This window comes from Homo sapiens, chromosome X (assembly GCF_000001405.40).
Source record: "Homo sapiens chromosome X, GRCh38.p14 Primary Assembly".
NCBI lineage: Eukaryota > Metazoa > Chordata > Mammalia > Primates > Hominidae > Homo > Homo sapiens.
In genome coordinates, this window is record NC_000023.11 from 18,313,505 (window position 1) to 18,338,943 (window position 25,439).

The 25,439-nt window shown below is 40.0% G+C and overlaps 1 protein-coding gene across 5 annotated transcripts in view; it reads right to left on the bottom strand.

Annotated features, from left to right (window-relative positions):
* The window catches only part of SCML2 (Scm polycomb group protein like 2), a 115,806-nt gene that overhangs the window by 74,192 nt on the left and 16,175 nt on the right, over positions 1-25,439 (bottom strand). For all 5 annotated transcript variants that reach the window (NR_033717.2, XM_017029219.2, XM_006724458.1 and 2 more), the window contains exons 2-6: positions 20,546-20,591; positions 17,083-17,151; positions 11,403-11,473; positions 10,355-10,589; positions 6,828-6,916 (exon numbers count right to left, since the gene is read on the bottom strand). Coding sequence is in view for 4 of the 5 variants with exons in the window: in XM_017029219.2 (XP_016884708.1) it covers positions 6,828-6,916; positions 10,355-10,589; positions 11,403-11,473; positions 17,083-17,151; positions 20,546-20,567 (486 nt within the window). In the remaining variant the exon portion in view is untranslated. The remainder of the gene's footprint in view (positions 1-6,827; positions 6,917-10,354; positions 10,590-11,402; positions 11,474-17,082; positions 17,152-20,545; positions 20,592-25,439) is intronic.

Below are 25,439 nucleotides of genomic sequence, written 5' to 3' on the forward strand. Positions count from 1 at the left end.
CTTAGGCATGTCTTTATCAGCAGCATGAAAACAGACTAATACAGCTGCTGAGCACTGCTGCAGCAAAGTCCCTCCCACATGCTTATTACATGTAGTGACACACATTTTTACCCTTCATCCTTAGCTAAGCCCTCCAAAATACTGTCATGTGTCCCTAGACCATTCCCTCTCCCATCCCGTATGGCAGCTGTTCCAAACCTTAACCATTCTCCTTGAGATAAATGATGTAGCCTCACTATATGTTTGTTATTTTGTTAACTGACTTTATCCCCAACCAGTATGTATGAATTTTCTTCCAGCCTTTGCCAGTTTCCTACTTTGCAGAAATAGGAATTTGAGGTTTTGTTTTTTTGTTGTTGTTGTTTTGTTTTGTTTTAAATCAGGGTCTCACTCTGTCACCTAGGCTAAAAGGTTAGCATGCAGTAGCGAGATCATGGCTCATGGCAGCCTCAACCTCCCAGACTCAAGTGATCTTCCCATCATTGAGGTCTATTTATAGAAATAGTAAATTGAAGCCATCAGGAATGATCTCCATATAGTCTGCCCAAAATTATAAATTTAGCTGAGGACACTTTTCACCTGGACTTTAGCTCTTGCTAATGTAACTGATGATTTTCTATCTACCAAATAGTCAAAAATCAGCTTTCCTCATAAATGACCTTCCTTAAGTACATGATATGGGCCAGGCACTGTGTAATTCTAAGCTGTACTTGAGACTGTTAACCACTCCCTAATCCTTGCAACTCTGCCCCACTGGATTCAATGACACTGGCTTATTCTAGTTTTCCTCCTCCATTTCTAGAGCTGCTCCTATCCCTTTACCCACCCTATAAGGTAGGTAGGTATTTCTCAAGGCTCTCACCTTGACACTCCTCTCTCTTCCTTCTATATATTCTCTGGACTAGCTCATTTAAGCTCAAAGCTTCTATCACTACTATTTCTGCTAAAAATTTCCAAATCCATGTGCCCAAGCCAAACTTTGTTCCTAAGTTCTAAACCATTTACTTTCAACAGCCTGATAGTCATCACTACTCAAATTTCCCAGAGACACCTCAACACGTTCAAAACTAAGCCCATCTGTTCCTTCCATAAATATTTATCTTCCTGTATTCTTTTATCCTTTCTTCATTCTTTTAACAAACAAGTATGTGTCCAGAAACTAATATAGGCACTGACAATACAAAAACATGCTAACTGCTCAAAAGGAACTCACAGTCCAGGAAGAGAGACAGTAAAAATAATAATATAATCTAACACATACAAAGATTGGGATATATACAATGCTATAGAAGTATAGGAATGGGCCGGACACAGTGGCTCACACCTGTAATCCCAGCACTTTGGGAGGCCAAGGTGGGTGGATCATTTGAGGTTGGGGGTTCGAGACCAGACTGGCCAACATGGCGAAACCCCGTCTCTACTAAAACTACAAAAAAAATTAGCCGGGCGTGGTGGCAGGTGCCTGTAGTCCCAGCTACTTGGGAGGCTGAGGCAGGAGAATCACTTAAGCCCAGGGGGCAGAGGTTGCAGGCGGCAGTGAAGTGAAATTGTACCACTGCACTCCAGCCTAGGCAACAGAGGGAGACTCTGTCTCACCAAAAAAAAAAAAAAAAAAAAAAAAAAGTAGAAGAATGGAGAAGGGGAATTAGGGATATTATCTTGGAGGATTTAACATCTGACTTGAATCTTTAAAAAGTAGGAGCTAACCAGGAAAAACCAACATGAGTCAAAACAGAGCTCTAAAAATAAACAGGTATCTACAAGCTTTCACAAGCAATTTAAGAACATAACATCCAAAGCAGGGAGTGGCATCCCTAAATTTGATCACACAGGACCTAACAGGCCATATTGAAAAACTTATACTTCTTCCTGAGTATAACCAGGAATTTCAAAAGAGTTTTAAACAGGGGAATAACATGGTAAGGTTTTTGTATAAGATACACATTTCTAGCGGCTGTGTGAAAGGGTGAAGATTAGAGGCAGTTAAAAGGCTAGCATAACAGTTCAGGCAAGAGGAGAGCCTTATAAAAGTTGTCAGAATCAAAATGGAGTCACTTATGCCAAACCCTAACAAAATGGACCATAGAGGAGGGGCTCTCATGTACACACGCCTATGATAAAAACTATTACAAGGACTCTCTGAAAACCACAACCTCACACAAAGAATACTCCTGCAAGGACATCTATCCAGTAACCGTTCAACCCCAGATACCACTCTTGTTATTGATCCTTGTGGCCAAGGATAAGTGTTTCAAAACAACTTATGTAACCTTCCTTGTTTTGCCTTTAAAAGCTTCCCTTTGCCTTACCTTCACCAGATATGCCAATGATCCATCACAGCACAAACATCCTGCATTGTAATCCCTTGTCATTCGTTCCCAAATAGACTATTTTTTTTTTTTTGGAGAGCCTATTTCTCTGCTGTTATTTTAGGTTGACAGTCTGCCCAAGGAGCAGTGGTGGTAAGGTTAGAAAGAAACAGGACAAATAAATAATTAGGAACCTAAGTGAGTGGACCTCCAGAGGCCAAAATCAAGGAAAAGTGAGGATTTAAGATGATGATTCTAAGAAGAAAAGAAATCCAATAGAAAAACAGTCAAAGGGCCAAGCACAGTGATTCACGCCTGTAATCCCAGCACTTTGGGAGGCCAAGGCAGGCAGATCACCTGAGGTCAGGAATTCGAGACCAGCCTGGCCAACATGGTGAAACCCTGTCTCTACTAAAAACACAAACATTAACTGGGTGTGGTGGCACATGCCTGTAATCCCAGCTACTCGGGAGGCTGAGGCACAGGAATCAGTTGAACCCGGGAGGCGGAGGTTGCAGTGAGCTGAGGTCACGCCACTGCACTGCAGCCTGGGAGACAGAGTGAGACTCTGTCTCAAAAACAAAACAGAAAAATAGGCAAAGGCTATAATCAGACAATTCACAGAAAAACAAAAGGCCATTAAACAAATCTTAAAAGCACAATTTCACTAGTAATCAGTGCAATGCAAATTAAAACAATGGGATACCATCCTCATCTTCACCACTCCCTCCAAAAAAAGAGTCATGAAAATTTAAAATGGATAATATTCAATGTTAGTGAAGGTGTGGAGATACAAACATGTTTATGGGCTAATGGTGGAGCATAGCTTAGAACAGGGGTCCCCAACCCCCCAGACTGGTACTGGCCTGTGGCCTGTTAGGAACTGGGTGGCACAGCAGGAGGTGAGCAGCAGGCAAGCAAGCAAATCTCCATCTGTATTTACAGCTGCTCCCCATCACTCGCATTACCACCTCAGCTCTGTCTCCTATCAAGAGAGGCATTAGATTCTCATACGAGTGCAAACCCTATTGTGAACTGCACATGCGAGGAATCTACATTGCACACTCCTTAGGAGAATCTAATGATAAACGCAATGCGTTTGAATCATCCCGAAACCACCCACCCCTCCATCCATGGGAAAATTGTCTTCCACGAAACTGACCCCTGGTGACAAAAAGGTTGGGGACTGCTGCCTTAGAATACCCTTTGGGGATGCAATTTCACAGTATATATCAACATTTAAAACATACACCCCTTTGTTTTTTCTTTATAATTTTTAAAATTTTTTTTCAGGCAGGGTCTCCCTGTGTTGCCCAGGCTGGTTTTTAACTCCTGGGCTCAAATGATCCTCCTGCCTTGGCCTCCCAAAGTGTGAGCCACCATGCCCAGCCAAAACATACATCCCTTTGAACAAGCAATTCTAGTTCCAAGAATGCAACCGTTCACGTTTATACACAAAGCTCTTTAAAAGAATGCTCACTATAGAGCTGATCTAAACAAGAATGTGGAGATGACCCAATCATCCATCCTTACAGTTAAGTCAATTCTAGGGTTAAATGAATTCTGATGATCCATACTACACAAGAGTACAATACAAGCTAAAATATATATGAAATGAAATAGAATGATTTCCAAAACTGTTAGGAGAAAAAGTAAACCACAGAATAATATGTACAATATATTCCAACTGATGTTTAAGAAAATAAAAGCCCATATTTGTTTGTAAATGTAAAGAAAGGCCGGGCGCGGTGGCTCACGCCTGTAATCCCAGCACTTTGGGAGGCCGAGGCGGGCGGATCACGAGGTCAGGAGATCGAGACCATCCTGGCTAACACGGTGACACCCCGTCTCTACTAAAAAAATACAAAAAATTAGCCGGGCGTGGTAGCAGGCGCCTGTAGTCCCAGCTACTCGGGAGGCTGAGGCAGGAGAATGGCGTGAACCCGGGAGGCGGAGCTTGCAGTGAGCCGAGATCGCGCCACTGCACTCCAGCCTGGGCGACAGAGCGAGACTCCGTCTCAAAAAAAAAAAAAAAAAAAAGAAAAAGGTCTGGGAGAACAAATAAAACTTCAATTTGGAGGGAAGAGAGGAATGAAGGAATGGTTGGGACAAAGGGAGATGCATTTTTCACTCTAGCTAAGAGTATAGCTTGATTCCCATCCCCTGCCCCCCACCACATGAATTACTTTTATAATTAAAAAAATTGAAAATATAATGTGTATGACAAGTGTGGCATGCTGATTAAGCAATCTGACTAGTAAAACAGATCCAATGGCTTTTCTAAAGCCACAGCCCAAGCTAATAGGTGTTCAATAAATAAAGACTTCTGCTAAATATTTTTTAATTGGCTATTCTCACACATGGCTTACCACTGGCCAAAGGGCCTGTGCTGCCTGTGTCCCTTGCAGGTAGGGCAAGTCCACTTTCTGCATTCATCTTACTCAGAGGCGTACCCACAGAATTTTTCTTTGCAATGGAGGCATAGTAATTGATGTTTCACATCCTTATGCCTTCAATCTTCTTCAAAAGCTTTTTAAAACAACAATCAATTCTTACCATTCCAAGTATAGTTGTAATAAAAGTTAAGTGATTGAAAAACAATCAGGAGAAAAGGTGAGAAAGAAATATTCTGACTCATAATTTAACTAAAACGTGGCTTTTATTGTTTCTTAACATACTCTTCAACATTTTCTCAAGAACATAAACTACTTTGGAAATTTTTCCTCTTTTTTTATATACCAAGTATTTCCTCATAACAAATTCTTTCTGATGACTGCTTTTAACATTACTTCTGAAACCAAATCTCTCCAACTAACTTTCGAGTGATTTTTTGGCCCATCATCTTTTTCTCCAATATCAAAGGGACTAACACAGTAAAGTGAGGGGAAGCTTCACTTCTGAATGCAAATAAAAAATAGCAATGAATATTTGCTTCCAGTAGAGCACTCTTTTTATATCTACAGTCAAGAAAGAGGCTGCTAATGAAATTGGACCAGTGGGTTATTGTAATTGAGACTTTTTTATGACTTGCTGTTCTGGGCTGAATTGTGTCACCCCCAAAATTTGTATGTTGAAGCACTAACCCCCAGTACCTCAGAATGTGATGGTATTTGGACACAGGGTCTTCAAAGAGGTAATTAAGTTAAAATAAGGTTATTAGGGTAGGCCCTAATCCAATATGACTGACATCCTTATAAGAGGAACAAATTGGACACGAATAAACAGACCACGTGAAAACACAGGGAAAAGGCAGCCATCTATAAGCCAAGGAGAGGCCTCAAAAGAAACCAAACCTGGCCAGGGGCAGTGGTTCATGCCTGCAATCCCAGCACTCTGGGAGGCCAAGGCTGGCAGATTACCTGAGCCCAGGAGTTCAAGACCAGCCAGGACAACATGGCGAGACCCCGTCTCTACTAAAAACACAAAAATTAGCCTGGTGTAGTGGCACGCGCCTGTAATCCCAGCTACTCAGGAGGCTGAGGCATGAGAATTGCTTTAACCCGGGAAGCCGAGATCACACCACTGCGCTCCAGCCTGGGTGACAGAGCAAAACTCAGTCTCAAAAAAAAAGAAAAAGGAGTTCAAGACCAGCCTGGCCAATATGGTGAAACCCCACCTCACTAAAAATACAAAAAAAGTATCTGGGCATGATGGTGCACGCCTGTAGTCCCAGCTACTTGGGAGGCTAAGGCAGAATTGCTTGAACCTGGGAGGCAGAGGTTGCAGTGAGCCAAAATCGTGCCACTGTACTCCAGCCTGGGTGACAGGTGAGACTCTGTCTCAAAAAAAAAAAACAAAAAAAAAAAAACCTGCTGACACCTTGATCTCAGACTTCTAGCCTCCGCAACTGTGAGAAAATATATTTCTATTATTTAAGCTATTGTTACGAATTTAATTGTATCATCTCAAAATTCATATGCTGAAGCACCAACCCCCAACATATATGTATTTGGAAATAGGGCCTTTAAGGAAGTAATAAAGGTTAAGTGAGGTCATAAGGGTCGGCCTCTAATCCAATAGGACTGGTGTCCCTATAAGAAGAGGAAGACACACTAGGGATGTGCATGGATAGAGAAAAGGCCATGTGAAGACACAGCAAGAAAGCAACCATCTGGAAGCCAAGAAGAGAGATCTCACCAGAAACCAATGGGATACCATCCTCATCTTCACCACTCCCCCACAAAAAAGATTCCCAACATTTTAAAAGATGAATAATATTCAATGTTAGTGAAGGTGTGGAGATACAAACATGTCTATATGCTAATGGTGGAGCATTGCACATATCTGAGGGCACTTTGATCTTGGACTTACAGCCTACAGAACTGAGAAAATAAATTTCTGTTGTTTAAGCCACCCAGTCTGTGGTACTTTGTTATGGCAACCCTAGCAAACTAATACACTTGCCAATCCAGTAATTTTAAAAGTATGTTTGCTTTTCCATGTCACAGAAGATTAAGCATTTAAGCATTCCCACTAAAACAATAAAAACATGGCAGCTTTTTATAACATCTTTCTTACCTTCTTAAATAATGTGGCAGATGCCATTTCAGACCCATTTAGTGTCTTTAAGAGGAACATCGGCCAGGAGGATGTATTCATCTGGTACCCTGTTTTATAAAATAAATTAGGTATCATGAAAAAGCCTCCTTGTGATACTATTAACAAGTTGGTATAAAAAATAGGTTTCATTCACCATTCTTCTCGAGAGAATGACTTTCTTATCTAAGAACTTTGAACATGGGCAAGAGGAGCAGATGTACCCTCCTCTCATTGCTAGTGTCCCCACTGTACTGTCTGGCAACAATGCTACAGTGGGGATAGAAACTCTCCTTTTAAGAGAAGTCACTAGCTAGAATTCACAAACAAACATGTATATAATACAAGGGGTGATCTAAGCTGGAGCCTAGGAGAGCTTCCATTCCACCACCAACAATCACACAAGCAAGGGCAAAGGCTGTAAAAGACTTCTAGCCCCCTTTTCCTCAGGGCCCCAGGCTTCTTTCACTTCAGAAAGACAGTTTTCTGTCAAACTCAGCACATATACACACACAACAGTACATTTCATTGCATGCAATTTTACCTCAAAAGAAAAAAACCTATAGATATTGACTCGTTAATGATATATATGCTAAAATATTTAGGGGACGTGCACTGATACCAACAACTCACTCTGAAATGTACTAAAAAATAAGAAGGATTGATGAATAAATAGAAGGGCAGATAGATAGACAGATATGTGATAAAGTAAATATAATAAAATGATAATGGTAGAAACTAGAAACTGGACATGGGGGTACTCACTGTAAAATTTTTTCACCTTTTCTGTATGTTTGAAATTCTCCATAAAATGTGTTAGAAAAAAGACAGCTCTCACTTTAGCAATCTTAATACATACTAAAAATGATCTTCTTTTAGAATTTGTATCAGATGCTATCAAAATAGACTCAACAGGTGTCTTTTCTAGAGATCTCACCAACTAATGGCTTCACAGCATCTGGCATATGCAGCAGGGAGCAGGGTTCTGCTAGTTTTACTGCTTTCTGGGGGCAATCTGTTTCATGCAACACCTGCTTGCCTCAATGCCAGAATTAGAAAGAACTTGGTATGCGCCCCTGATGCATGCATACATTAAGACAGGGAGGCACATGAATCATTGGCAATGGGTGCAGGTTTTGTCCTATTTTCCATCAATAAAACAAAACATACAAAAAAGGTAAGATGGAAAGTCATCCTCTAATAATCCTGTACCAAAATCCCCTTAATCTGACCAGAGACACAATTGTTGAAAAAAAAAAAAAAAAAAAAACAGGGGTGGGGGGAGATTTGTTACATACTCCCTTATAATAAATCAACATTATTATTCTCCATTCTGTGGAGAGTATTGCATAAGAATCATTCTCTGGTCCTTAAGCCTCTCTCTCAACTCCCATATTATCCTATTCCATCATGTGCCCAGATTTTCCTAAATGTAACATTTTACTTAATTCTGTAATTGCTTAAAGTCAAACATAGATTAAAAGACCAAAATTGGATTAAGGTACATATAAAAACTTTAAAAAGAGATAAAACTAATCTATAAGGTTAGGAAGTATAGATGGTAGTACCTTTAGGAAAGGAGAGATTATGGCTGGTTATCAGCAGGAGCAGGTCTTCTGGGGGGCTGATAATGTTCTATTTTCTGATTTGGATGATGGCTTTACAGATGTGTTCATTTATAAGCTATATACTTATGACCTGTACACCTTTCAGTTTGTGTGTTAAAACTTTATAAAATCTTTTAATAATAACCTTTAAAGTTTAAACAAATAAATCTTTTTAAAAGGAAAACTAAATAAGTTGTATTAAAATGGAAGTTAAACTATTCAAAAGTACCTAAAAAGCAAACTGGCACCAATGGTGCATTTTTAAATATACTGCCAAAACAGATACTAATCAGCACATATTTCTATACATTTCATATTTTTAAATAAAACAAAGTCTAAGAATTTTATTAAAAAGAATGACCATAAATCTAGTTATGTATTTGAAATGCTGACAATTACAACAGCAGCATCTCCTTTAAACAAACTGCAAAAACATACCATATTGCAACAAGAGAAATAAAATCCAAATAGGGAAGCACTAAGCCTAGGATTGCACTTATCTTTCACATAGAATTCTGTGTAATTTGAGAAATATTATAAACAACAAATAAACGACAAAAGACGTGAGTGAAAGAAGGCAAAAGGCAAAAAACAAACATGCCCCAAACCATCTTCTTGGAATAACATATCTCCAACTAGTTTTTAAAAATATTTTAGCCGGGCACAGTGGCTCACGCCTGTAATCCCAGCACTTTGGGAGGCCGAGGTGGGAAGATCACCTGAGGTCAGGAGTTTGAGACCAGCCTGGCCAACATGGTGAGACCCCGTCTCTACTAAAAATACAAAAATTAGCCAGGCGTGGTGGCGGGCACCTGTAATCCCAACTGCTCGGGAGGCTGAGGCAGGAGAATCGCTTGAAACCAGGAGGCGGAGGTTGCAGTGAGCCGAGATCACACCACTGCACTCCAGCCTGGGCAACAAGAGTGAAAACCATCTCAAAAAAAAATATTTTTTAAACCAAATTAGTTATAACGAACAAATAGAACAAGGACAGCATAAAGATATATTACTAAAGAGTGGCTATTGTTAATATCTTAAATTTGTGAAAAATTTTCACTTAAATTAGTGAAAAAGGAATTTTTCACTAATAGGAAAACAAAAAAATCCATTCTTTTATTGTGCTTTGCAACAAGGAATTTTCATTTTCAGCACTGTAAAGAACCAAATAAAAGTAAATGCCCACCATTCACTCAAAGTATAGAACAGCAACTAAATAAACTAAATCATTTCTTTCCTACAGAGTATCATGGTATGCTTACATTTTAAAAAGAAAAATGTTGCCCCAAATTAGTTACACCCTTTTTACCTTTCAAAAATGTGGCCAAAATTAAAGTACATATTTTGTACCTTAAAATCTTTGCTAAAATCTCCATTTTCTCCTTTTCAAAGACCTAAAGGTACTAATTCCTGTCCCTCTCGCTCTGATTTCTTCCCACTGTAGGTGAAATGAAATTCTTGAGTTTGAAACTGGAACCTGAATGTGGAATCATACCCTTCCCCTAGGCTTATCCCCATACCAAAATTGCTGAATGGCTCAGTGGACAATATTGAGAGAGCATGTGCCTTGTATCAAACGCTACAAAGTTCTTCCCCAGAAGGAGTTCTGAATCTGCATATGTAATCTAGTAGAGCTGGTTTTGACATTTCAAGTTTGAAGACCTAGCATGAGTCTTGCCCTGGAGTGGAGAAAACTTCTACACACATATGCCAAATATGTACTTAAGCAAAACTCCACAACAGATGGTGCTGATTTCCTCTCTCATCATACATTCTCCACAGCAACCACCTGACCATCTATTTGCAAGAATGCCCAAGAAAATAAATTTTAAAAGGCCACTTAAAGCCATTTCTATTGAATATCACATTAGAAAGAATACGCTATTTTTAAAACTTTCTTCTTACCTAGTGGAGGTTGAAGTAAGTCTCCTTCCTTTTCACATGTCCCAACAGGTTGTATGTCTGGGGAATCGACAAGCCTCCAAAAATCATTTCTGTTGTCACTACCATCCAGTCGTAACCGTAACCTGGCCCCAGTAATTCCAATAACCGTAGCAATACATACTGAAGTGGCATTGCGAGGGTCACGGGCTTCCAATTTCATACCAACTTTGAAATCATTCACAGGTGGAATCTGAGACTATATATATAAATAAAATTTGGTTAAAATGCATCAACTATAAGAGAAGACACATGGACAGCTATGTCACCAGAATACCTGAGGAACATTTTAAATAACAGTCACAGTGGATGATGAGTGAGGTCAGAGCTGTAAGAGTCAAGGAAAAGATCTTCAAAATTCTCTCCTTGGCTTGACATGCAGCATAAAAACACTACCCGCTGCTGTTCTCACTCATCTGCCCACTTCCAGGCAACCCAAATACAGCCTCTAAAATATACCGAGTGGCTTTCTAAAGTAAGAATCTGATTAGACCATTCCCCTTGAAATTAGCCAACCAGCAGCTCACCACTGCCTATAATGAAGTCCAACTCCTCAGCACAGTTTAAATGCCCCCACACCTTTAACCTCATTTCCACATTATCGCCTCTATCCACTTTGTGCTCCAGCCACCCCAAGCCATCCCTTAATACTCAGATTCTTTCATGCCCATGTGCCTTGGCTTTGGATGTTCTCTCTGCCTGGACTATCCTTCCTCCCATTCCAACCATCTCAAATAGCATCGCTCCTGTGAGCCCTTCCAGTATGGAGTTATCACACTTCTCATAATTATTTATTTATATGTCTGCCTTTCCTGCCAGATGGGCAATCATAAAGCTTATTATACCTGACATAGAGTAAGTTCTTAATGAATGCAAAGAGACCATCTGGCTCTTAAGAGGCACTACCACAATCCCACTATCTCCTCACACTACCAGAATCTAACAATCACACAGACGTCCTCCAACAAGTTAATAGTTTACATTAACTAACAGCTACAGAATCTTGGCATACCTGACGGAAGCACTCTGAAGGAGCACTTATAGACCCAGTCTCTTTCAAATACTCCTCCCAGTGGAAATCATCTGGAAAAAACACATGTGCAAAATAGTTTCTTAAAGCATATACAATGTAACTTTTAGTATATACAACTTTCAGGATTAAAATGGGTTTTAGTTCCATGCCTCTTAAAAGAAAAAAAAAAAAAACTTCCAAAAGAGTAGATTCAAAAATCCTGATCTACATTTCATGACCAGCATAAAAATAAAAAATAAGACGATATCCTGATAATAATGGCTCAGAAATAAATTATAACCTAGATACTCTCATTGTAATGTGGACTACAGCACAGTGATTCTAAAAATGTGGACGTTAGAAATAACTAAAGAAATTGTTTTAGAGTAATAGCGAAGTCTACCCATCTGTCTCTAATATAAATTTATTCAATAAATATGTTTTCACCACTTTATTCCATTAATGTGAAGGCACTTCTTTGTTATTCATGGGGAGCTAAAGGTTTAGTGTGCAGTCAAACAGAATTTTACCCTTGCAATGCTTTATGGAAAGAAAAAAATGTGGTAACCAGAGTAGTTTCTCAATGGACTATTAGATCTCTATTCAGAGTGTCAAGAAGATGGTGGCAGAACAAAGCAATAAACCAGTCATCAGTACAGTCACTAATATGGATTATTTTAATGACCTACATTTTCTACAGACTCTTGCTGTCCTTCCTCACTTAGTTTTCATGACATATTATAATGTTAGAAGAGAAGATCAGAAAGCAGAGCACATTGCCTGGCTTGAACGTATCATTTCACTGTGCCAGCCAGACTGTCAAGACACTGAGAAAAAGACTTGACAGTAGTAGTGAACAAACTAGTAATTCACATGATGTTTAATTCTCATCATTCATGAGGCTTTTCTATACTCTTGCTAAATTTCCTCACTATAAAAATATTGGGTTTGACAGTTCTCTTTCCTGGAAGAATCTACGTTTACCAGCTTCTTACATTTCCTTCAAAAGATATTATACTTAGATGACTCCCCCCTTGCAGAAAACAAAAAACAAAAAAACCTACAGAGTGCTGATAATGTTTAACAACCAGCTTTCTGGAAAATACAACAAAAAACCTGACTGACAGCGTTTGCAGATTTCCGTGATGTAAATATGACCACCATGGTTGACTGTAAGGTGCCAAGGTAAAACCACCAACCATGAAATTGGGAAAAGATGTACACAATTGGCTCTCCCAAGCCGGTGTGAGCCAGCTCCAGTGTACCACCATTACATATGTGTGTATGCATTTCTATATGTATGTATACATATTATATGTGGTATTAAGCATGTCACATGTAACATTTTGCACCTTGCTTTTGGTTAATAGATCTAAGAGACCGTTTCATCTAAAAGAAAATACTGGGTTTGATTCCACTTCCAGATGATGTGAAGCAAGCACTACCAGCATTGAAAATCATGCATCAGAGAGAGTGTTAAGAATGTGGGCTTTAGGGCCAGGTGCGGTGGCTCTGTAATCCCAGCACTTTGGGAGGCTGAGGTGAACAGATCACCTGAGGTCAGGAGTTCAAGACCAACCTGGCCAACATGGTGAAACACCATCTCTACTAAAAACACAAAAATTAGCCGGATGTGGTGGTGGGCACCTGTAATTCCCAACTACTTGGGAGGCTGAGGCAGCAGAATTGCTTGAACTCGGGAGGTGGAAGTTGCAGTGAGCCAAGATCGCACCACTGCACTCCAGCCTGGGCAACAGAACAAGACTCCATCTCAAAAAAAAAAAAAAAAAAGAATGTGGGCTTTAGAGTCAGATCTGCCTACTTCCAGTATGGCTCTACCTCTTACTAGCTATGTGACCCTGAGCAAGTCATTCACTTTCTTAGCCTCAGTTCCTTCATTTATAAAACGGGAAAAGTAATGTACATGGTACTAGATATGTTGAGAGCTAAATAAAGTAGCATATATGTAAGTCACTCAATAAATGGCACGTTATAAAACTAGAAGTCATAGTTGTGCTCAAATTTATTAATACAGAATAGCTTTGTCAAAAGTGAAAACCGAAATCCACGGCTTCAAAATTAAACAGACCAGATGTTTCAGTGATTGCCCCCTAGCACTACAGATTCTAAGTGAAGCTCTACTACCATATGATCTTGGAGAGCATTAAAAAAGAACAAAACGGGCGAGGCGCAGTGGCTCACTCCTGTAATCCCAGCACTTGGGAGGCCGAGGTGGGCAGATCACCTGAGGTCAGGAGTTCCAGACCAGCCTGGCCAACATGGCGAAACCCCGTTTCTACTAAAAAAAAAAAAATTGCTGGGCATCGTGGCGGGTGCCTCCCAGCTACTTGGGAGGCTGAGGCAGGAGAATCGCTTGAACCCGGAAGGTGGAGGCGAAGGTTGCAGTGAGCCAAGATCGCGCCACTGCACTCCAGCCTGGGCAACCAGGGGGAGACTCCGTCTCAACAACAACAACAAAAAAAGAACAAAACAAAACATTTAGTTGGGATGGATGGATGTCATTAAGAAGTTGACACCCTGGAGGAAAATAGTGTAAGTCAGAAATAACAAGCAGGAAATGAATACCCAAAGAACTAACACTCTTCCATAAACCAATGACATTTGTAAAATTTTTCAGTAATATTAGAAAATACTTAATTCATCTCCATAACACAAATTTTTAAAATATTCTATTACCATTTGTGTCTGAATGGGCTACAATCTGAGCTAGCAAATCCTTTATACTAGTGCTCTACAATATAATTTTCTATCAAATTACTGGTTAATGACCATATGCAGCATTTGCCATTTGGAGCCTCAGGTTCGTTGGTTTTTGTTTGTTTTCTTTTCCCCTTTTTCCATAAGGCAAAATTCTTAATCATCTTGATAAAACTGTTCATCTTGGCTGCCCACGTGTTCATAACATAGGGGAAACACACAAAGCTCCAGGCTTTACTAATTTAGACTTGACACATCTACGTCAATACCACCATTGGAATTCCCAACCAGAAGCCAAAATAGTCAGAAAGTCTTAGTTAAGCCTGAGGTCCCAGTCTGCCTCTGCATCATGTCTTCATTGACAGACTGGGGATGGGGGCAGTATTCTATCTCAGAAGAGAGGCCTGGGAACTGATATGATTTTATATATATATCTCCTTGTGATCTGATTGTTATTCACATGTGCCCATGGTCTCTTCTTTTTTTATTTGTACTCTATTCTAGTCTACACATTAGCTCCAACATCTTTTTGTACTGAATATAACCCATATGAGCTCCCCTGGTCTTCTCTAGAGTAAATCAGAATCATGTCTTCCACCAGTGCTATCCTTGGGATCCCTTGCTATGTGAAGATGGGCAAAATACCTAGAGATAGAAGTTTCTCAGCTGAATGATCAGCATCCACTAATTCACAGCATTTATCACAACTACAATTAGGCATCTGTTAATTTCTATCTTGCCCACTAAGCTCAAAGAGGGTAAGAGGCTGGGTGCAGTGGCTCACACCTGTAATACCAGCACTTTGGGAGGCTGAGGCGGGCAGATCGCTTGAGCCCAGGAGTTCAATACCAGCCTGGGAAACACAGAGAGACCCCGTCTCTACAAAAAATTGTTAAAAATTGCCAGGCATGGTAGTGCACGCCTGTGGTCCCACATACTCGGGAGGCTGAAGTGAGAGGATCACTTGAGACCAGAAGGTCAAAGCTGCAATGAGCCATGATCATGCCACTGCACTCTGGCCTGCATGACAGAGTAAAACCTTGTCTCAATCAGTCAGTCAATAAAAGAGGGCAGGAATCATGTCTATATTGTTCGTAACTGGATTCCCATAGCAGGTCATCAGCATGTGCCAGGCACTGTCCTAGGTACTGCAGATGCATGAGTTAATAAAACAGATTAAAACCCTGGCTCTCTTGGAGCTTACCTTCTGGTAGTCACTCACTGATTTCTAAAATAGGATGTTAGGGCCCAGGCCTGAGAAGTATCTGCAGATGGCTATCAACTTAAGTAATCTATTTTTTTAATTAAATGTCTAGAATGGGAAAATCTATAGAGGCAGAAAGTAGACCTGTGTTTGCCTAGAGCTGGGGGAGACAGGAGGCACTAGGGAGAAATGGGGAGTACTGTTAATGGGTACAGGATTTCTTTTTAGGGGGATAAAAATGTTCTAAAATTGACTGTGGTGGTGGTTGCACAACTCTGTGAACATACTGAAAACCATTGAATTGTGCACTCTAAATAGGTGAATTATATGATATTTGAATTATAACTCAGTAAAGCTGTTATATTTTTAAAAACAGATGGAGAGGAGTTTGTAGGGATAAGGAACAGTCTAATTCAATGGCCTCCATTTCCTCAGAGGATTTGGGGGTCCCAGGGAAGAGTTGAAGAACAAATAAGGCCATGGTAAAGAAAGTTAAGGGAGCACTGAGGGCCCAGCTACAGTGAGAGAACAACAATTCCGTGGGGATTACCTCTATAGGCAATCTTCAAGTAGGAACAGAAGGTCATAGGGTGAACTGCTCTGCACTGGGGCTGGCAGGGCAGATACAACAGAAACACAAGGGGCAAGAAATCTCTGGAAATGTCTGGTAAAACAATAGTTTGCTACGTTATTTTTTAATGCCTTTTGTGTACATATGACTTATTTTCTCATTTAAGAGCAAGCCAATGCATCAGATTCTATTACATCTCCTGAGTGTCTCTGATGCAATATTATACATGTACTGTTCATAATAAGGAACATGAATTAATAAAGTTAACATTTACTGAACACTTACTATATGCCTAGGCATTATATTAGGTGCTTTAAATTCATTTCCTCTATTTATTTCCAGTAGTGCCATGAGATAAGTACTATCATTATCCCTGTGTTATAAAGAAGAAAAAAGAGCCGGGCACAGTGGCTCACGCCTGTAATCCCAGCATTTTGGGAGGTTGAGGCAAGTGGATCACCTGAGGTCAGAGGTTTGAGACCAGCCTAGCCAGCACAGTGAAACCCCATGTCTACTAAAAATACAAAAACTAGCCAGGCGTGGTGGTGCATGCCTGTAGTCCCAGCTACTCGGGAGGCTGAGGCACAAAAATCGCTTGAACCCGGAAGGTGGAGGTTGCAGTGAGCCAAGATCACACCACTGCACTCCAGCCTGGGTGACACAGCGAGACTCTGTCTCAAAGAAAGAAGAAGAAAAAACGTCTAAGAGCTGTTGAGTAATGTGCCCAAGGTCACCATGGCCAGTAAGGAGTGAGGACAGAATTCCAGAACACATCTGTCGGACTCACCACAATGCCTATAAGCTCTTAACCACTGAACTGTCTTCTGACCATGAAAAAAAAGCTTTCACATTGACTGTAACGTTAGAAGGGTTTTTGCTAATAACCAAATTATTTTAAATTGGTAATACATGGCAATTAATAACTAGATACCTATAATTTAGGAAAATTTGCACTGAAATATACAAAGTTACCCTTTTACTTAATCCGTGTCAACTTATCTCTAAGTAAAATTTTCAAAATAAAATACAATTTTTGACCTTTCTTATTACATTTTGTATTTACAGAAGTTTACAGTATACAGACTGTACAATAAGAAATCAAAACAATAAGAAAATTTGCACTTAAAGTTAATTTTAACACTAGTGAGGAAGAAAACTATGCTGTATTAAATTACTTTAAAACCTACCCCTTTGTACAGAAGATGTACTTGACTGAGGAGTTTTCTCTTGATTCTCCTTCTTGACATCCATGGAATCTAATAAAAAAGAAAATAGCAATACTGGGAGTCCACAGCAACAGCTTGAAAGAGCACTCAGAAAAATATAAATTAAAAAACTTTAAAGAGCCAATTTTAGTTTTATAATATCTTCATTTTCTATGTAGGACTTACCATTTTCTAATGTACTATGCATTTTATAATCTGCTCATTTATTGTCTCACTCTACTCAAATGAAATCTCCAAAAGGGCAGAGATTTATTTATTTTATTGTCTATCTCATTCACTGTGGTATCCTCAAGCGCCTAAAACAGGACCTGGCATCGCAACACTCTCAAGCATTTGTTAAATCAATGCATCAGGCCAGGCGTGGTGGCTCACGCCTGTAATTCCAGCACTTGAGGAGGCCAAGGCAGGCAGATCACATGAGGTCACGAGTTTGAGACCAGCCAGGCCAACATGCGAAACCCTGTCTCTCCTAAAAATAGAAAAAATTAGCCAGGCATGGTGGCGGGCACCTGTAATCCCAGCTACTCGGGCAGCTGAGACAAGAGAATCACTTGAACCCGGGAGGCAGAGGTTGCAGTGAGCTGAGATCGTGCCATTGCACTCCAGCCTGGGTGACAGAGCGAGACTCCGTCTCAAAAAAAAAAAAAAAAAAAAAAAAAAAAAAATCAGTGCATCAATAAATCAAAATGAGCTGATCTTTACAATGTTTAAATTAACATGTCCTAGAAATAAAACAGATGCTTTTGAGAGTTCAAAACATAACAGAGAAGCTACAATACACTGTAATTCAATGGACTGGGCAGAGATTTTCTTGGTGCTAAGCTAAAGAGCTCAAATAACACTGGACCTGGTAACCTCACCAAATCTAAGATGTATCATTTCATCCACATGTATTATAGTATGTATCTCTAAAAGGACTCATTTTTAAAAACTTAAGCATAATATTTCTATTACATCTAAAAAAATTAACCATAATTCCTTAAAATCATCAAATAACCAGTGTTCCCCAATTGTCTTAACTATTTTTAGTGTGTATGCTTGATTCAGAACCCAAATAAGTCCACACACATAGCAATGGTTGATATGTCTCTTACATCTCTTTTGATCTACAGGTGTCTTCCTCCTTTCTTCTCGTTTTTATTCTTCCCCTTTACAATTTTTTTGCTGACAATACCAGTTGGTTGGTCCTTTCAAGTTTTCCAGTCTGGATTTTGCTGACTACCTCCCCACAGAGTTCGGTTCCTCTGTTTCTTGTATTTTCTTTAAATTGGCATTCATATTTCAATCCAGAAGAGTTTGGTCAGATTTAAGATTGGCTTTTTGGTGGGAGAGGAGAGGATAAGATGACTTCATAGGTGGTGTTGTGTATTTCTCACAGGAGGCTCCTAATATCTAGTTATCTCTCTTTTCGTGATGTGAACAGTCGTGGATGGCTATTGCCTAGATCCTTTCGTTTATTAATGGTTGCAAAATGAAGGTATTCTAATTCTATCATTCTTTATTAGCCAGAAAACTTCTATAGAGAGAAGCTTCCATGCTTCAACCATTCAGTTACCTTAAGGCACGGATCACATAGAGAAATCACAATCAGCACTTTATTATTTTCCTGTATTTCTAGTTTTCAAAGTGATGAGCTGGATCTCTAGCATTCTCCACAGATGACCAGTAAGTTTTATTTGTTTTGCTTTTTATTATCATTATGAACTCATGGATTTAAACATACTTGTGTTGCTATTTTACCCTTACCGATGTTCTAATTGTCAAGTGACAAACTTCTTAAAGAAGGATCTAAGAATGATGCCATTCAACGTAACAGATCTACTTACTAGTTATGACTGAGTGACTCTTCAAGATGTGTGAACACTTGAGAGGGATATATGAGCTGCTTTCTGTTTAAATGATTTCAACTGAGTGGTTGAAGAAAGGTAGTTTCTCTATATAGAAATTTTTTGGCCAATAAAGAATGATAGAATACCTTCATTTTACAACTACTAATAAATGAATGGATCCAGGGAATAGCCATCCATGACTTTTTGTGATTTTTCACATCACAAAAAGAGATAACTAGGTTGGATGTGACAGCTCACACCTGTAATCCCACCACTTTGGGAGGCCAAGGAGGGAGGATCACTTGAGGCCAGGAGTTTGAGGCCAACCTGAGCAACACAGCAAGACCCAGTCTCCACAAAAATTTTTTTAAAAAATTAGCCAGGTGTGGTGGCACACATCTGCAGCCTCACCTGCTTGGGAGGCCAAGGCAGGAGGATCACTTGAGCCCAGGAGTTTGGGGTTACAGTAAGCTATGATTACGCCACTGCACTCTAGTCTGAGTAATTTCATCTCTGTAAAAAAATATTTTTTAAAAAAAGGCCAGGCACGTTGGTTCATGCCTGTAATCCCAGCACTTTGAGAGGCCGAGGCGGGAAGATCACTTGAGGTCAGGAGTTCGAAAGCAGCCTGGCCAACATGGCAAAACCCTGTCTCTACTAAAAATACAAAAAATTAGCCAGGTGTGGTAGCTCACGTCTGTGGCCCCAGCCTCTCAGGAGGCTAAGGCAAGAGGATCACTTAAGCCCAGGAGGCAGAGATTGCAATGAGCCATGATCGTGCCACTGCCCTCCAGCCTGGACAACAGAGCAAAACCCTGTCTCAAAAAAAAATAAAAATAAAAATTTAAAAAAAGACAGAGAGAGATAACTAGATATTAGGAGTCTCCTGTGAGAAATACACAACACCACTTATGAAGTCATCTTATCCTCTCCTCTCTCACCAAAAAGCCAAACTTGAATCTGTACAAAGAACGTACAAATTTGTATTTACTAAATAGTTCTACAGAAGGATTTTTCTAAAAGAAAACAAAGTAAAACTGTAAAGGCATGCTTAGCTTCTAGAGAAGCTAAGAATCTAGTCAAGAGACTACACTAAACTGATACACTTAAAATTAGAGAACAGCATTTAGTACTCAGCATTCAGCCAGAGGAAAAGTCATGAGAGATACAGCGCTTGAAGGAGAAACAGGATGTAGGAAGGCCAATATGTAAAGAATGTATTATGGGAAGGAAGATACAACACAAAGCTGACTGCAAATGAGTGTGGCATATTCATGGAATAGTGAGCAGACTTCTCATAGAGCAAAACAGGATGAAACATTTTTTAATCACTCTTTGGATTCTAATCTTGGCTTTGTCACAAACTGTTGTATGACCTTAACCTCTCTAAGTTTCAGTTTTCTCATTTATATAACTAGCAAGGAAAGACAATGACCTTTAATAGCTATTCAGTTCTAAAATTCAAATTCTAAGCACCTAGCATCTCCTATAAATTTATTTTTTAAAGGCTTTATTTCAAAAGTTCAGTATACCAGAAGATATTCATTCCAAATGAGTAACTAAAAACATTATTGCCTTTAACAAGTAAATCTTACCTTCATTCACTGTTTGTCCCATGGTATCCCTATTTGGTGTTGTTTCCTACAAGGAGAAAAACCAATTAATGCCTCCTTTTAGCATATTAGATTTCTGAAGGATAAGAAGTCAGTTATAAGGCCAGATCAATTTAATCTGTTTCCCTTAAACAAAAATGATAAGATTTGTATATGCCTAGTTGCCTGGGAATGGAGGAAGAAGGAATTGAGGAGTGACTGCTAAGGGGCATGAATATGGGTATGAAGTTTCCTTTGTGGGATAATGAAAGTGTCCTAGAATTAGATAGTGGTGATGGTTATACGCCTTGTTGTGAAAATACTAAAAATCATTGAATTGTATACCTTAAAAGGGTGAGTTTTATGGTATGCAAATTTTGACTCAATTTTTAAAATTAATTGAGTAAAAAAGAACAGTTGGTAGGTTAGCAAAGTTAGGATTCAAACTGAGGCCTATTCCAGGAAGCCCACTTCTGCTACATCATGTTGCCAAGAGGTACAAGAATTATGACCGTGTTGGGAAAACCTGTAAGAACTGCAAGAGTCAAGTCTAACAAGAATTATTTGTTAGAAGCCTTGTGTATTTTGAGCTATAATTCATTAATTCAAACTTTTCCTGCATGTCCTCAATATGCCAGACATTCTGCAGCAAAGATAAATAACAGGCTGTCCTTGGCCTCCAAGACCCCAGTCTAGTCAGAAATAAGCATATGAACAAAACACAATATAAGTGCTATAAAAAAATATGTACATGGATAAACCTAATATGGCAAAAGGCTATCTATCCCGCCATTACTCCATGTGCCTGTAATAAGAACATGATGATGTGTATAACTGAAGGTAATCTGGCACTTAAAGTAAACCTATGAAGAATACATTCATAGGCTGGGTGCAGTGGCTCATGCCTGTAATCCTAGCACTTTGGGAGGCCAAGGCGGGTGGATTTCTTGAGCCCAGCAGTTCAAGATCAGCCTGGGACACTCAGCATCAGAGACACTGATCAATTAAAGACTATAGCCCAGTGGCTAAAGAAACAGACAAGAAAGTAAAATATATACGGGGTGTTGAATCCACACAGATGATAAAGCACTGTAATCCAGGTAGTAAGTGAAGGTACTTACCGACTCTCATCAAAGAGCAAAAACCTGTGAATTACATTAAAATGAGTCTTATCAGGCTGGGCACAGTGGCTCATGCCTGTAATCCCAGCACTTTGGGAAGCCGAGGTGGGTGGATCACTTGAGCCCAGGGGTTCGAGACCAGCCTGGGCAACATGGTGAAACTCTATCTCTACAAAAAATTTAAAAATTAGCCAGGTGTGGTGGTACATGCCTGTAGTCTCAGCTATTCAGGAGGCTGAGGTGGGAAAATCACCTGAGCCCGGGAAATCCAGGCTGCAGTAAGCTGTGATTGTGCCACTGTACTCCACCCTGGGAGTCAGAGTGAGACCCTGCCTCAAAAAAATAAATAAATAAATAGTCTTATTACTATACAAATGAATTCAGTCCAATAAACTGAGGGATGGGTCACACACAGAAGATATAACCAGGTTCCCATGTTCTCTCAAATATCTAACCCATAGCTGAATGCTTAACTCAGCTGGTAGCAATTGCTTCCATTGGCTGAATAAGTTATTTTTGTAATCCTGGAAGGAGTGAAAATACGTATACAGATGATCGAAAATACATACTTGAAGAAAACCTAAATAAATCACCATATTCACAAGCTGGAAGACTCAATATTCTTAAGATGTCAATTCTCCCCAAATTAATCTGCAGAACCAACAAACTGATCATCAAAATCCTCATAGGGTCTTCAGAGAAATATGCTGATTCTAAAATTTATATTTTTGAAAATGGAGAAGATTAGAATAGCTAAAACAATCTTCAAAAAGAACAAAGATGGAGAATTTACATCATCTTATTTCAAGACATAGTATAAGGCAACGGTATTCAAAACTGTGTGACATTGGCATAGGATATACAAATTAGATCAGTGGAAACAGGCTAGGCAGTCCGGAAATAGACCCACAAATATTTGGTCAATTGATTTTCAACTCAGGGAACAAGGTAATCCAATGGGAAAAAGAAAAATATTTTTAAAAGAATGATCCCATTGGCGGGCATGGTGGCTCATGCCTGCAATCCCAGCACTTTGGGAGGCCGAGGCAGATCATGAAGTCAAGAGATCGAGACCATCCTGGCCAACATGGTGAAACCCCGTCTCTACTAAAAATACAAAAATTAGCTGGGCGTGGTGGCATGCACCTGTAGTCCCAGCTACTTGGGAGGCTGAGGCAGGAGGAGCACTTGAACCCAGGAGGCGGAGGTTGCAATGAGCCGAGATCATGCCACTGCACTCCAGCCTGGCGAAAGAGCGAGACTCGGTCTCAAAAAAAAAAAAAAAATGGCCAGGCACGGTAGCTCATGCCTGTAATCCCAGCACTTTTGGAGGCCGAGGCGGGGGGATCACGAGGTCAGGAGTACAAGACCATCCTAGCTAAAACGGTGAAACCCCGTCTCTACTAAAAAATACAAAAAATCAGCCGGGCATGGTGGCGGGCGCCTGTAGTCCCAGCTACTCTGGAGGCTGAGGCAGGAGAATGATGTGAACCCGGGAGGCGGAGTTTGCAGTGAGCCAAGATCACGCCACTGCACTCCAGCCTGGGCGACAGAGCGAGACTCCGTCTCGAAAAAAAATAATAAATAAAATAAAATAAGAAAAGAATGGTCCTGTTACTTAAAAGCAGACTTAGATTCGTTGTAAATGTATATCGCAAATTTTAGGGCAACCGCTAAAAAAAAGTGGGAAAAAAAAGAATAATATGCTTACAAAGGAGAAAAAACTGAATCATATTAAATGGTCAACTAAAACCACAAAGGGCAGAAAATGTAGAAAACAAAAATAAGAATAAAAAACAAGGGCAAACAGAAAACAGCAATAAATACAGTAGTTATTAATCCAACTATATCAAGAATTACTTTAGGCTGGGTGCCTGTAATCCCAGCACTTTGGGAGGCCAAGGCGGGTGGATCACCTGAGGTCAGGAGTCCGAGACCAGCCTGGCCAACATGGTGAAACCCCAGCTCTACTAAAAATACAAAACTTAGCCAGATGTGGTGATGTGTGCCTGTAGTCACAGCTACTTGGGAGGCTGAGACAGAAGAATCACTTGAACATGGGAGGTGGAGGTTGCAGTGAGCCAAGAACGCGCCACTCACTGCACTCCGGCCTGGGCGACAGAGCAAGACTCTGTCTCAAAAAAAAAAAAAAAAAAAAAAAAAAAACAACCAATTGTATGTTGGCTACAAAAAAAAAAAAAAAAACTTTAAATATAAAGACACATATAAACTACAAGTAAAGGGATGGAGAAAGTCCATGCTAATACTAATCAAAAAAAAGCAGGAATAGAGGAATAGCTATACTAATTTCGGACAGAGCAGACTTGAGAGCAAGGAAAGTTATCAAGGATAAAGCCGGGCATTACATAATGATAAAGGGGTCAATACTCAAAAAAGATATGACAATCCTTTATGTGTATATGCCTAACAAGAGAGCATCAAAATATGTGAGGCAGAAACCGATAGAACTAAAAAAGAAATAGATAAATCCACTATTATAGTAGGAGACTTCAACAAGCCTCTATCAGAAATGGACAGATCTAGCAGGCAGAAAATCGGCGAGGACATAGTTGAACTCAACATCATCAGTTGGATATAATTGACATCTAGAGACTACTTCATCCAACAAGAGCAGAATACACATTCCTCTCAAGCTCACATGGAACATTCACTGAGATAGACCATATTCTGGGCCATAAAACACACCTTAACACACTTAAAAGAATAGAAACCATACAATGTTTCAGTTCTTAGACCACAATGGAATTAAACTAGAAATCAATAACAGAAAGCTGAAAAACTCCCAAATATTTGGAGATTAATCAACACACTCTGAAATAATGCATGGGTCAAAGAAGAAAGCTCAAGATAATTTTTTTTAATTCAACTAAATGAAAATGAAAATACACCTTATCAAAATTTGTCCATTGCAATGAAAGCAGTACTTAGAAGGAAATTTACAACATTGAATGCATATATTAGAAAAGATGAAAGGGCCAGGCACGGTGGCTCACGCCTGTAATCCCAGCACTTTGGGAGGCCAAGGCGGTAGGATCATTTGAGGCCAGGAACTCGAGACCAGCCTGGCCAACATGGTGAAACCCCATCTCTACTAAAAATTCAAAAATTAGCCGGGCATGGTGGCACATGCCTGTAGTCCCAGGTACTCGGGAGGCTGATGCAGGAGAATTGCTCGAACCTGGGAGGCACAGGCTTAAGTGAGCCAAGATTGCGCCAGTGCACTCCAGCCTGGGCAACAAAGGGAGACTCTGTCTTAAAAAAAAAAAAAAGAAAAAAAAAAAACAATCCAGGCACAAACTGTATGATCTCATTTACATGTGCAATCTAAAATAGTTGAACTCACAGAAGTACAGAGCAGAATGATGATTACCAGAGGCTGGGGAGGAAGGGGCAAGGAATGGGGAGTTGGTCAAAGTGTAAAAAGTTTAGGTTAGACAGGAGGGGCTGGGTGTGGTGGCTCACATCTATAATTCCAGCACTTGGGAAGGCCAAGGCAGGAGGATTGCTTGAGCCCAGGGGTTGGAGACCAGCCTGGGCAACATGGCAAAACCCCGTCTCTACAAAAAAATACAAAAATTAGCTGGGTGTGGTGGCACATGCCTGTAGTCCCAGCTACTTGGGAGGCTGAGGTAGGAGAATCACCTGAGCCTGGGAAGTCGAGGCTGCAGTGAGTCATGATCGTGCCACTGCACTCCAGCCCAGGTGACAGTGTGTGGTGACCCTGTCTCATTAAAAAAAAAAAAAAAGAAAGAAAA